Raw genomic sequence first — 15,126 nt, 5'->3', positions numbered from 1 at the left:
GATTCATGAAATGTTAATCAATCTTGTTTGTTTTTATAGTGGAGGGTGTGTGTAAGCATGAGAGTGTGTGTTTGTGTGTGTGTACCTAAGCTTGTGAGTTTATGTGAACATGAACCCAGAGGACTTTTTTTTTTTTTTTTAAAGAACTAAGAGTGTCTTTAGGGGTCATCTAATCCTGTGCTTTCAAACTCTTTATAGACAGCATAATCTTTTCTTCAGTGACATTTTAGCAGACCTCGGACACGTATAAAAGACAAAAGTAGAGCTCTGGCTCCAGGGACACGGAACCCCCGTCTGTCTCTTGGTCCTTCTCTCTTTCCACCTGCCTCCCACCTGGACTTCTAAGGCTCCACAGAACGCAGAGCTTCTGGGCACCTGGATGAACGGTTCACATGGGAGTCAACAGTGGCTCAGAGAGGCCGGGATTTGCTCAGAGGAATACACGCAACTGGTTTGGAAGCTGGGGTTTTGATACCTGTCCTGGGATCTTTGAACCCGTCATGTTATATAATTCTTTCTTCATCACTATCATAGGCTCTCTGAGGATGGCAGGAGTTTAAAAGCTAATAGTCATAGTAGCATCTGTGTTAAGATTCAAGGAGCTATGGGCTTGTCATCCTTTGACTCAGTACACAGGATACTCTTTTTGTGCAGACAAATATGTCCTTCTTCCTAAAGTGCTTTTTAAACAGAGCTACATAAAAAAAGGTTTTTTTAAAAGCTTATTTCACCTCATGTCCATTAGGATGATAATCATAAAAGTCAAGAGATAAAAAATGTCAGCAAGGGTGTGGAGAAAAGGGAAAAATTGTACATTGTTGGTGGAAATGTAGATTGGCGCAAGCATTATGGAAAACAATATGGAGGTTCCTAGACAAATTAAGAAAAACCTAAGCCACATGGTGAGTTCACATCTCTACAAAAAACTAAAAAATTAGCCCAGCATGGTGGCACATGTCTGTAGTCTTAGCTACTTGGGAGGCTGAGGTGGGAGGATGACTTGAGCATGGGAGGTTGAGGCTACAGTAGCCATGATCATGCCACTGCACTCCAGCCTGAGCAATGAAGTGAAACCCTGTCTCAAAAAAATTGATTAAAAATAGAATGACCATTTAACATAGTAATCCCTCTTCTGATTATATACCCAAGGAGATGAAATCACCACCTCATAAAGATATCTGCACACCCATGTTTGTTGCAGCATTATTCACAATAGTCAAGATATGGGAACAACCTAAGTGTCCATCAATGGACAAATGGATAAAGAAACAGATATATGTGTCCTCTGACTCAGTACACAGGACACTCTTTATCTATCTATCTATCTATCTATCTATCTATCTATCTATCTATCATCATCTAGCTATCCATCCAATAGAATGTTATTCAGCCTTAAAAAAGGAAATCCTGCCATTTGCCACAACTTGGATGGAACTGGAGGATATTACACTAGATGAAGTAAGCCAGGCATAGAAAGAAAAACATTTTATGATATCACTTGTATGTAGAATCTAAACCAAAATTAAAGTCAAATATACAAACACAGAGAATAAAACAGTAGTTACCAGGGGTTAGGGAAAAGGGGAACAAATGGGAAGATGTAGGTCAGAGGTTATCAAGTAGCATATATTAGAATGAATAAGCCTAGAGCTCTAATGTACAGGAGGACTGTAATTAATAAAATTTTATGCATTTAGGAGTCCTGTTAAATGAGTAGATTTTAGCTGCTCTTACCAAACAAAGGGGCAGGGCAATGGGGATAACTCTGTGAGATGCTGAATATATTTGTTTTATTATAGTAACCTTTTTACTATCTATATGTATCCCATAACATAATGTTGTATACCTTAAATATACACATCATATTTTAAATTTTATTTTTAAAAGTAAATGCTATTGTGTATCTTTTTTAATGTAAAGATTTATTCCATATAAAAACTTTTAAAAAAATGGTTCAGGAAGAGGCAAAATGAAATGTTTTTACTTGCTCATTGGGGAAAATGTTCACGGAACTTCAGCACCACCAGCAGAGTAAGCTGACAGTAGCATACAGAAGTATGAGGGCTCCTTGGTATGACCTCGGTGCACTGAGATTTTCTGGGAAAATCTGTATCAGTAATCATAGTTGTATAGCTCCAGGGTCCAACTCTAGATTGCAAAATATTTCCCCTTTTGGACTTCAACTCAACAATAATTCAACAGTGTGACAACTCAGTAGGAAACGGACCTTGAACAAGAGTGATAGGTATCTTTAGCTTGGCCTGGGCTGCCCAGGAAGCTTAGTGGCAGATAAAGTAATCACACCCTATGGCCTTCCGCTCTCACAAAAGAATCACTTGCATTGTGCAAGCCAAGCATATTTCACACAAAACCTTGTTTCCACTTTTCCTCTAAAGTGGTCTTTGGCAGTTTTTTCAGTTCCTAACATTCTGTTTTGGTCACAAACAAACCTCTGCTGTGCACTTTATGGGTGTGCTGAACCACTGAGTATTAGAGCTGAAATCGGCCTCAGAGATCATCAAATCCAATCCTGTCATTTCATAGCAAAGGAGTCAGAGGTAGAGGGAGAGGAGATGACTTGTCCAAAGTCACACAGTGAGAGAAAAGCAGAACCAGGTCAGGAGCTGAGCTGCTGTCCTGATGTGAAGCACTTTTTCATGACTCTATGCCACTTCTGAATTAGCCACAACACCATGAGGGGAGATGTCTTCCATATGGCTCAGGGGTGTGGTATTTGCCGTCAGACAATAGTTATTTATTGAGCACCCACAACATGCTAGGGAAACCCTTCAATAGGCTTACAGTCTGGAGGGGAAGACATACATTAAACAAAGAATCTTAAATGAGTAAGTGCATTAGTGTTGCCAACCATTCAGTGAAGAATGCATTAGTGTTGCCATGGGAATGTTATCTCCAGGGCTGATTGGGGCTATGTCCAGGGCCAAATCTGATTGGTTGATCCTGTGAGTTAGTAGTTAAATATTAATATGTTGGCTCACCCTAGGTTATGGGCCAAAGATTGTTTACATAATGCACGGGTTACTTCACCCATCTGATTCTGCTCCTCTTGGTTTCTTCTTCCTGATGATTCTACCTCCAGGAAGACAGGTAATGCAAAAGAACTAGAGTTCCTACAAACAGTCTTGTTCTCGCTCAGAACTGCTTTGACAGCTGGAGTAGTGAAGTCAACATTTGAATTATCTGTGAGTCCCATGTATTTGTGCTCTCCTCAGGATGGAGCAGGCTGGATTTTTTAACCTGATATCCCATTTACACAGGTCTTACACTCCTTACATTGATATCAAAACTAAAACAGTGACTTCAAAATTGAACACAAACCTGAATTTTGAATATTAATCACTCCTCGTCTCCAACACTCTCTTCCATCCCTACTAACATTTTTGCAAGCCATTCCTAATTCAACTGCTCTTCCAAATGCAGTCAGCACCGAGGAAGAAGTCCTCTCATGAATCTTTTTGGAAAAGGAGCTCTCATGCCCAAATTCCTTATAATTCCAGGAGCATGTCAAGAAGAAATTGTTAAAGAAAATTTCTACACAGTGGACTTCCCATTGGAGAATGAATCACAGGACATTTTTCTAAATCAAGAATGTTTGAATTTGGGGTGTGGGTCACACCTGGAGAAGCCCTCCTCTTCGTCTCTTCCTGGTTTACTTTCTATCCTGGGAATTTCCCCTTCCTCTTTCTTTTCCATCTAGTTTGTGAGGTTTCCCTGAACCCCTTCCTTATTTCCCCTTTGTCCCCAAGTTCATTCACATTATTCTCTTCTTCTGCAATGACTCCCTCCTGGCCTTTGCTGGCTTTCCCTGCATCTTCATGGGTGGCCTTGTCCCCCTCCTCCCACTTCCCAGTCTTCTCCCTTCCTCCCCTATCCCCAAACATGAGAGCTGCACAAAAGCTGGAACTATGCAGCAAAGGGGGAAAGAGCAAGGCTTCCTCTCCCAGCATTTCCTTCCCCTGGCCAGCAAGTGCCTCAGGGATAGGGCGCTGGCTTGCCTGGCAGAGGACAACGTGTCCAAAGCAGGTTGGCTGTGAATCAGTCTTCAGCTTGGGTCAGTGCTTTCTCTCTGTTGAGAAATTGGGCCAAGTTTGGCCAAAGGCCCATTCGAAGTCCAGTTCTGGAATACGTGTCTATTCCTCATCTCCGTCTACTTTCCCCAGAGATCCCAAGAGGCCAGACAAGCTGTTCCCACACCAGGCTCTCATCAGGGTGGCTTGACATCACTTTTCCTCTCCAGGAAAATAATTACAGTTGAACTTTCCTTTAAGAAAATCCAATGTAGATTTAGAATTAGAGAATAATGTCTCTTTTTACAAAAAGTTTTACCATGGGAGTGGTTTCAATAGAACATGCCTGTGTTACACCGAAAACATGATTCAATCTGCAAATGTTTTGAAGCTACTTTCAGGAATATATTTATTGAGTAAAGTAAGGCACACAATGCAAGCAAGTCATTGTCCAACCAGGGGGAAGACAGAGCCAGCCTTGCCAGGTCACCTTGCTTTTATCCTGACCTTCTACCTCATATTGTCTCCATCTCTTCCTGCTGTTCTTTCCTGTTCTTCCCACAGGTCTAAGGTGTGGCTACAAAATGTAACAAAAACACTTGCTGGACTGTAGCAAGGTAGGCATTAAATACATATTATTAATATTAAAATAACCTGACTTGAATCACACATCTAAAAGAGTATTGTCCTCTAAAGTAATCATGCTTAAATTTATTGCAATGATGCTGTTATTACTTAAAACCCCATTCTGGAATGTATTTACTTGAATTACTTTGGAATTATATCCAGATCCAGTTTATGAGCCAGACAAAAAATTATAGAGAGGCCTTAGGAATCATCTGGGGCATCCTTAATTTTATAAATGAAGAAAGTGAGCCCACAGAGTTTGTGTATTTGTTTTTCTCCAACACCAAGAAGTTGTTACTCACTGGGGATGGTGGCTCATGCCTGTAATCCCCACATTTGGGGAGGCTGAGGTGAGAGGATCCCTTCAGGCCATGAGTTTTAGACCAGCCTGGGCAATATAGCAAGATGTCATCTCTACAATTTTTTTTAAATTAGCCTGGCATAGTAGTACACACTTGTAGTCCTAGCTACTCAGAAGGCTGAGGTGGGAGGCTCATTTGACCGTAGGAGTTCAAGGTTGCAATGAGCTAGGATTGCACCACTGCAGTCTAGCCTGGGTGACAGAGTGAGACCCTGCTTAACAAAAAAAAAAAAAAAAAAAAAAAGAAAGAGAAAGAAGAGAAAGAAAGAAAGAAAAGTTGTTAGCTTATTTTTGTTGTAGAATAAACCAAAAAGTGACAGCATTGTTCATTAATCTTTGATTAATAAACCAAATGCCTTTATTAAGCCTGAAAACATTATAAAACCTACTACTTATTAAACATGTCACCATGTGACAAACCTGTGCCAATCACTTATCACAACAAAAAAGAACACACACCCATGATATGAGAATGTCCAATTTATGGAGGAGGTAAATAAGACTTTGACATTAAAAGTGACATGCTAAGAACCACACAGTTAAGACGTGACAGTCAGTGGTAGACTTGGGCCTGGGTATCTCTGCTTTCAAAGCCTGTGAGCTTTTCACAATTCTGTGTTGCACTAAACAAACCAAGAAGCTGTTGTTTGCAGAATGAGAAACTGTCAGACATTGTTATTATTGTGAAAACTAAGAGAGCTTGCAACTTTAAACAAAGTGTTGCTCACAAATCACACACATAACCACTCTTACATACATAGTTTACAAGAGATAGTCGACTGCTAGAGCTGGAGAGAAGATTGAAAAGAATCTAGATCAAGCATTATTTTGTAAGGAAAGAGACTGGAGTCTAGAGAGTCTCAGACCTTGTCCTGAGTCTCATCAGTAGCAAGTTCTAGGGCCAAGACTGATGTCTTCCATCTGACAGCCAAAGCTTTCTCCATCATGCCAGTTGAGGACTCTCACAGGCACACCCTTGAGCTCTGGGGCAACAACCCAAAGTTGTCACCCAACTCAGTCACATCTTAACTCCTTCTCAATAAATCATTCTCATGTGTTGAAAAAAGTGTCTTTAAGACAACATATTCAAATATTGCCTAACTTCTAAAACTGATAGTTTCTATGTCTTCCCATTGACAACTGGAGCAGAAGCCAACTCATTCAGATTAACTGTCATTCTGGAAAACTAATTATAGACATTTACAAAGAAAATCACATGAAAAAAAACAAAAGGAGAACATAAACAGTATTGGAATCCCATTTCTGTAGCCATCTTCTTTCATGAATTAGGGCCCCAAAGCAGGGAGCAGTTTACTGGCTTACCCAAGTCAAAGCAGTTAGTTGAGGGCAGATCCCAGAAGGTAACTGATTATCCTTTCCGACTGACAGCTCACTGCTTTCCACAATGCTGTCAAGTTCCTTCTCATGCCTTATGTTTCTGAGTGAAAAGGGTCTTTGCCTGCCATGACTGAGATGCCTCATAACTGCTGTGAAAAATCAAGTCCACTCTAGAAAAGCAAAACATTGCCACTATATTGGAGCTTCTTATAAGATTTTGCCTCTTTTGGGGTGTGAGCACAGCAGGAGAAACATGGCCACACAGACGAAAGCCACATTTTAGGGACAGGCATTATACACTGTCACGACTCACACTGTGTATAAAGTGAATTTGGATGGCTCAGAGAGAGATCAGATTTCATCCCCCAGGGTTTGCTATGGAATTTCTCTTCTGGAAGCTAGAATGGATAGTCTGGAAGCTAGAATGGATAGAATTGATATGCTGTTCGTTGAGGCTTGGCTCTGCATGCAGCCTGAGCAAGCCACCATGAGAGTAAACAATAAAGAAGAGAACGAACCTTGTGTTCCTTCAAGGGCACAGAGTAACTTGCTCATGTTGCATCATCTCCTCTTCCAGTGGATAGTCAACTCTTTAAGAGCCGAGACCATGTCTGAGTCATCTGTGTGCCCATCACCTAGCACAGAACGTGTGGATGCTTACACTAAATATTCACTGAATGAATAAGTAGGTGAATTTCACCTATGAGATAAAACAAGTAGATAGCAACATAAAGGGCTTCAAGTCTTTGCTCTAAAGATAATGCAGATAGCAAGTGCTGTTGGAGGTCAGAAGAAAAGTGGGCTACAAGGCCTCTTGGAAGTGTAGGACCTCAACTGGGCCCAGAAAGATGACTCAAGTTTGGTCAGTGCTAGAAGCTAAGGTGGCTATACTCCAAGCAGAAAAAAATAATGGAAGTGAATGAGCATCAGTGGAAACTAATGGAGTGGTAGGCAAAGCTTGGGTATCTCCACCTGGCTGTCCTAGACAGTTTCCTTCAAATCAGCATGCCCAAAAATGGAGGTCTCATATTTCCTCCCAAACTACTCCCTGCCCCAGTTGGAAAACCTACAGCCTAGGCTTGAAACCTGGAAGTCACTTTTCTTTCCATCACAACTAATCCAGCATTAATTTGAGATGTATCTGCCTTATAAATATTTCTTGGTTCCATTTCCTTCTCCCCACATGAATACCCGTGGTCCTAGCCCAGGGTGGCATTGCCTGTCCCATTGCCACTGTTTCTAACTGGTCTCCCTGCCCAAATCACCTACACAATAGGTGATTTCTCATTCCAAAAATGTGATAAAAATTACTATACCATAAGAGAGCACTGTAGAAATATATGCATATAAATGTTCTCTCTATATTTGTAAATGTGGATAGATATATATGCATATGTGTGTATGTAGATATATGTATAGCTATGGTCTGTATTGCTTAAACTATATGTGTATATATACACACTTATGCATATATACACATAATTATACACACACATATATATAGCTGTAGATACACACATACACATACATGAAGGGGGAGTGTATATGTCAGGAAGTCAGGAGAAAGAGAAAATAAGGATAGAATAAGAAAAGGCCAGATAAAAATGTAGGACACAAATATGTGTGACGTAAAGTGCGACATGGTGGCAAAGGAACCTCTCACTTATGCTCTAATTTCCTAGTGGACAATAAAAAGAAGATGAGTTGAGTTACCTAGTTTTCATTGCCAATAAGATTTTTAAAACTCACACTCTCTGATAAAGTAGAAGCAGAACATTTTTTAGCAATAAGATATGAGAAAAATGTGTCTCTTGAGATCCCTTAATGGAGGCATTGTCTGATGTAATGGACAAGACCTCAATAACATCCCTAAAGCAAATATGACAGCAAATGTATGAAAAATGCTATCTCTTAACTCAAGCTTAATACATAACAGTAAAATACAATTCAAAATACAATTTCAAAATAGATTTAAGCAATTCAGACCAATTCTGCTGCTCTCCTGTGGTCTCTCTTGATCTGAGGTCAGGGGCTGTAGATTATATGATTGTATGATTGGCATGTGCTTTAGGAAATATTTTGTAAATATTTGTTTGTATAATTGACTTCCTGTTAAAAGTTGGCCTTATGCTAAAAGACAATGAAAAACAAAAACCTTTATTCCATATCACCTAAGGTATTTTTTTAATTCTCAGGAAAAATAAGACCAGGAAAAAATTACCCCACAATGTTAACAGTGGGACTCTGGGTGGTGGGTGTGTATATTAACTTTTTTTCTTATTGCTATTCATACTTTTCTGAACATTTGAGTAGAATTACTTTGGCTTCTGTGTTGAGAATAGACTGGGGTGGGGAGAGCAGCAGGAAGGAGACCAGGCAGGAAGCTTCTTATTGGCTACATTTTCAGAAAAATGGGAAATGTATATAGTATTTATTTTTATATAAAAACTTTTTTAAAGTACCATAGACCTTGTAACTTCAACTATTTTTAAATATGAACATAAAAAGGACTGGAGGAATATATCCCAAAATGTTGCTAGTAATGGTCTCCATTTGATAAGTTGATGTATAATTTTTTCTTATCGATTATGCCTTTGTATATTTTCCAACGTTTCTACAATGCACATGTGTGAGTTTTACAGTTTGAAAATGTAAGAAAATGTGTTTCCTGAGATAACAATTCTGGAACTGTTTTAACATAAAAGGGGAGAATAATTTATCCAAAGTGTACTCTGTTTCTCCCAAAAAATCATCAATTCATTGACTTCTCATTGCCTATTAAATAAAACACGAGTCCTTTAATGTGAGTGGCGAGGCCCTTTAGGACCTTGTCTACTTCTCCAGCTCCCCACTTCTCGATTTATCTGTCAGCAACACCACACTCCCTGTAGCTCTTCTGTGCTGCAAGCCTTTATTCGTGCTGTACTCTTTCCTAGAGCACCCTCCCCTGACTTTCTTTCCCCTCCTCTCAATGCACACCTCACTTAGCTAATGTAGTCACAATTGAGCCCAGTTGTCCCCTTCTCTGGGAAACCCTCCTGAGCCTCTCTTCTCTGCACAGCCACCTCCAGTCAGTTTCCATGCGTAACACCTTCATAACCCCTATCACAGTGAAATTAAATACATTTACCTCTCTGTCTCCCCTCCAAGTGAACTATGCACGTCATTCATCTTTGCTTACCTGGCATGAGTATTGTTGAATGTCACAGAGGTGTTCCATGATCTTTCTCACACAGATTACAAGAGGATCAAAGGCCCAATTCCCCTCTGTTCTTCTCAACACAGCCTGTGCTTTATTCTGTGGAAAGGCACAGGATGTCTGACAATGATCAAAATCACTTGTGATGAGACCGTGGTAGTCACGTGAGGGGTCTCTTTCTGGGCCTATTGCTGTCCCTCCATGTTCTTGGATGCTGTATGTGAACTCACAGACCCCTGAAGCTCCAACTTCTTTATCTGATGGATGAGGCCCTTGGTGTCCAGAGGCTGTGACTTATCCCTGGCTCCAGAGCTGATGGGCTTTATTTTGTCCTTCAATTTCAGTGCATTTTCCACATCACGGATAGGTAGGCAATTCTGTATGAGAATATAATCAAGTTTTTTACTGATACATAATATTTGTGCATATATATGGAGTACACGTGTTATTTTCTTACATGCATAGAATGTGTAATGATCAACTCAAGGTATTTAAGGTGTCCATCACTTGAGTATTTATCATTTTTATGTCTTGGGAATATTTCAAGTCCTCTCTTTTAGATATTTTGATATATACATTATTGTTAACTATAGTCACCCTGCTCTGTTATCAAACATTAGAACTTATTCCTTCTATCTAACTGTATGTTGGTATGCTTTAGCCAACCTCTCCTTATCCCCCCTTCACACCCACAAAGGTTTCCCAGTCACTGGTATTGATGCAAGATAGGCAAACCCCCAAAACTGGGGCTTAGCCAGGGAGGGTTCTCGGCTTTGCCCAGGAAAGAATTCAAGGGCAAGCTGGTGGTGTCAGACAGCAACTTTTATTGAAGCAGCAGTGTACAGCAGAAGCAGAGGTACTGCTCCTTGCAAAGCAGGGCTACCCCAGAGGCAGTATGCCCAGAATGGCAGCTCAGAGGCAGTTCTGCACTCATATCTATACCCACTTTAATATATGCAAATTAAGGGGCAGTTTATGCAGAAATTTCTAGAATGAGGATAGTAATTTCTGGGTTGTCACCATGGAGAGGGGCAGTAACTACCAGGTGTTGCCATGGCAATGGTAAACTGACATGACATACTAGTGTATATGTCTTACAGAAAGCTGCTTTTGCCACAGACCTGTTTTAGCTAGTCCTCAATTTGGTCTGGTGCCTTAGCCCTGCCTTGGGAGTCATTTCTGCCTCCTACCTCAGTAGCTATCATTCTACTGTCTACATTCATGAGATTAACCTTTTAAGCTCCCATATATAAGTGACAATATGCAATATTTGTCTTTCTGGCTTATTTCACTTAAGATAACGACCTCTAGTTACATCCATGTTGCTGCAAATGACATGATTTTATTCTTTTTTATTGCCAAATAGTATTCCATTGCATATATATACCACATTTTCTTTATCCATTTGTCCACTGATGGACACTTAGGTTGATTCCATAACTTTGCTGTTGTGAATAGTGCTGCCAAAAACATGGGGTGTAGCTATCCCTTTGATATACTCATTTCCTTTCCTTTGGATAAATATCCAGTAGTGAGGTTGCTGGATCACGTAGTTCTATTTTTAGTTTTTTGAGAAATTTCCATACTGCTTTTCATAGTGGCTGTACTGATTTACATTTACCAATAGTGTATAAGAATTTCCTTTTCTTTACTTTCTCACCAACAACTGTTCATTTTTGTCTTTTTAATAATAGCCATTCTAACTGGAGTAAGATAATATCTCATTATTGTTTGATTTGCATTTCCCTAATGATTAGTGATGTTGAGCATTTAAAAATATACCTGTTGGTTATTTAATGTTTTCTTTTAAGAAATGTCTATTCATGTCATTTGGCCACTTTTTATGAGTTTATTTGTTTATTTTCTGTTGAGTTGTTTGCATTTCTTGTATATTCTGGATATTAGTCCCTTGTTTGATTTATAATTTGCAAATATTTTCTCCCATTTTATAGGTTGTCTCTTCACTCTGTTTATTGTTTCCTTTGCTGTGCAGAAACTTTTTAGTTTAATATAGTCCTTTTTGTCTATTTTTGGTTCTGTTGTCTGTGCTTTTGAAGTCTTAGCCATAAAATCTTTGCCTAGACCGATGTCTTAAAGTGTTTCCCCCAAGTACTCATCTAGCAGTTTTATAGTTTTAAGTCTTACATTTAAGTCTAATTCATCTTGAGTTTATTTTTTTGTATCTATGGTGAGAGACAGAGATCTAGTTTCATTCTTCAGCATGTGGCTATCCAGTTTTTCCAGCAATATTTATTGAATAGAGTGTCCTTTCTCCAATGTATGTCCTTGGTGCCTTTGTTGAAAGTCAATTGGCTGCAAATACATCAATTTATTTCTGGTTCTTTACTCTTTTCTGCTGGTCCATGTGTCTGTTTTGATATCAATATCATGCTGTTTTGGTTACTATAGTCTTGTAACATATTTTGAAGTTAGGTGGTATGATGCCTTCAGCTTTATTCTTTTTACTCAAGATTGTTTTGTCTATTTGGTCTCTTTTTTGGTTCCATAGAAGTTTTAGGATTTTTTTTCTATTTTTGTGAAAAATGACAATGGTATTTTGATAGAGACTGCATTGAATCTGTAGATGTGTTTGGGTAGTATGGTCATTTTAATGATATTAATTATTCCAACCCAAGAACATGGGATGTCTTTCTATTTGTTTGTGTTCTCTTTAATTTCTTTCATTAGTGTTTTGCAGTTTTCCTTGTAGAAATATTTCACTTAACTAGTTAAATTTATTCCTAGGCTTTTAGTTAGTTTTTTCTGTAGCTATTGTAGATAGAATTACCTTCCTGATATCTTTTTCATCTAATTCATTATGGGGGTATAGAAACACTACTGATTTTTGTTTGTTGATTTTGTATTCTGCAACTTTGCTGAATTTATTTATTACCTCTAAGAGCTTTTTGGTTTTCTAGATATAAAATCGTATCATCAGCAAAGAGGGACAATTTACTTCCTCTTTTCAAATTTGGATGCCTTGTATTTTTCTTTCTTGCCTGATTTCTTTGGCTAGGACTTCCAATATTGTGTTGAATAGGAGTAGTGAAAGTAGGCGTTCTTGTCTCTTTTCAGTTCTTAGAAGAAAATCTTTTAGTTTTTCCCCATGTTAGCTGTGGGTTTGTCATATATAGCTGTTATGTTGAGATATGCTCCTTCTATGCCTAGTTTATTGAAAGATTTTAATGAAGTTATATTGGATGTTAATAAATGTTGTTTTCTGTGTCTGTTGAGATGATCATGTGGATTTTGTCCTTCATCTGTTGATGTAATGTATCACATTTATTGATTTGCATATGTTGAGCCATCCTTGCAACCTGGGATAAATCCCACTTGATCATGGTGTATTGTCTTTTTGATATGCTGTTGCATTTTGTTTGCTAGTAATTTGTTGAGGATTTTTGTCTCTATGTTCATCAGGGATATTGGCCTGTAGTTTTCTTTTTTGTCACATCCTGGTCTGGTTTTGTATCAGGGTGGTGCTGGCATTATAGATTGAGATAGGGAGAATCCCTTCTTTTTTAATTTTTTTGTAACAGTTTGAGGAGAATTGGTATCAGTTCTTTGTAAGTTTGGTAGAATTCAGCAGTGAATTTATCTGGTCCTGAGCTTTTGTTTTTTTGGAAGAATTTTTATTACTGATTCAATTTTTCTACTCATTATTGGTCTGTTCAGGCTTTTTATTCTTTCCTGATTCAATCTTGGTAGGCTGTATGTGTCCAGAAATAGATCCATTTCCTCTAAATTTTCCAGTTTGTTAGTGTATAGTTGTTTATAACAACGTTTGATGATCTTTTGTATTTCTGTGGTATCACTTGTAATGTCTTCTTTTTTGTTTCTAGTTTGGTTTATTTGGGTCTTCTCTCTTTTTTCTGATTAATCTAGTTAGGAGTTTATTGATCTTGTTTATCTTTTCAAAAAACTAACTCTTCATTTAACTGATTTTTGATATTGTATTTTAGTCTCTATTTTGTTTAGTTCTGCTCTGATCTGTATTATTTTTGTCCTGCTATTAATTTTGGGTTTGGTTTGTTCTTGCTTTTCTAGTTATTTCAGGTGCATCATTAAATTGTTTATTTGAAATCTTTCTACTTTTTAAATGTAGGAGTTTATTGCTGTGAATCCTGTCTTCACAATGCGTTTGTTGTATCTGATAGGTTTTGGTATGTCATGTTTCTATTTTCATCTGTTCCAGTAATCTTTTTTATTTTCCTCTCAATTTCTTCTTTGACCCATTGGTCATTCAGGAGCATGTTGTTTAATTTCCATGTATTTGTACAGTTTCCAAAGTTCCTCTTGTTATTAATTTCTAGTTTTATTCCATTGTAGTCTGAGAAGATATTTAATTTGATATCAATTTTTAAAAATTTGTTGAGACTTTTCTTGTGTGCTAACATATGGTCTATCCTGGAGAATGTTTCATGTGCTGATAAGAATAATGTATATTCTGTAGCTATTGGATGAAATGTTCTGTAAATATATGTCAGGTCCATTTGGTCTAAAGTGCAGTTTAAATCCAAAGTTTCTGTCTAAATGATTTGCCTAATACTGAGAGTGTGGTATTGAACTCTTCAACTATTTTTATATTGAATTCCATCTCTCCCTTTAGATCTAATAATATTTGCTTTGTATACCTCAGTGCTCTGATGCTGCATGCATGTATGTTTAGAATTGTTACATCCTCTTGCTGAATTGATCCCTTTATCATATAATAACCTTCTTTTACTCTTTTTACTGTTTTTGCCTTAAAGTCTGTTTTAACTGATATAAAGGTAGCTACTCCTGCTCTCTTTTGGTTTCCATTTGCACGGAATATACTTTTCCATCTCTTTACTTTCAGTCTATATATGTCTTTACAGGTGAGACATGTTTCTTTGTAGGCAGCATATAGTTAGGTCATTTAAAAAATTTCACTTAGCCATTCTATATCTTTTAAATGGAAAATTTAATTCACTTACATTCAAAGTTATTATTGATATGTCAGGGTTTATTTTTATCATTTTATTAATTGATTTCTGGTTGTTTTGTATATCCTTTCTTTCTCTCTTACGTTTTATCATTGTCACTTGGTAGTTTTCTGTGGTTATAACATTTGCATCCTTTCTATTCCTTACTTGTGTGTTTGCTCTACCAGTGGGTTTTATATTAACGCTTTTGTGTGTTTTTATGGTAGTAGATATCGTCCTTTCACTCCCAGGAATAGGACTCCCTTAGGCATTTCTTGTGGGATTAATCTAGTGGCGGTGAATTCCCTCAGCTTTTGTTTACCTGGGAAAGACTTCATTTCCCCTTCACTTATGAAGTATAACTTTGTATTTGGATGTCTAAATGTCTTAGTAGACTTGGGAAGTTTTCAGCTGTTGTTTCATTAAATAAGCTTTATATTCTTTTGGTTTTTTTCTTTCTTTCTGGCAATCAAATATTTGCATTTTTGCTGTCCAAATACAGGAAGCTCAGAGATCCCTAAACAGATGCAATTTTAAAAGATCTTCTCCATGGCATATTGTAGTCAAAATGTGAAAATTCAAAGACAAACAGAAAATGCTAAAAACAGCAAGAGAAAAGCATCTAGT

Source organism: Homo sapiens, chromosome 18, assembly GCF_000001405.40.
Source record: "Homo sapiens chromosome 18, GRCh38.p14 Primary Assembly".
Taxonomy (NCBI): Eukaryota; Metazoa; Chordata; class Mammalia; order Primates; family Hominidae; genus Homo; species Homo sapiens.
The sequence above is the reverse complement of the archived record's forward strand: the minus strand, read 5'-3'. Positions refer to the sequence as shown.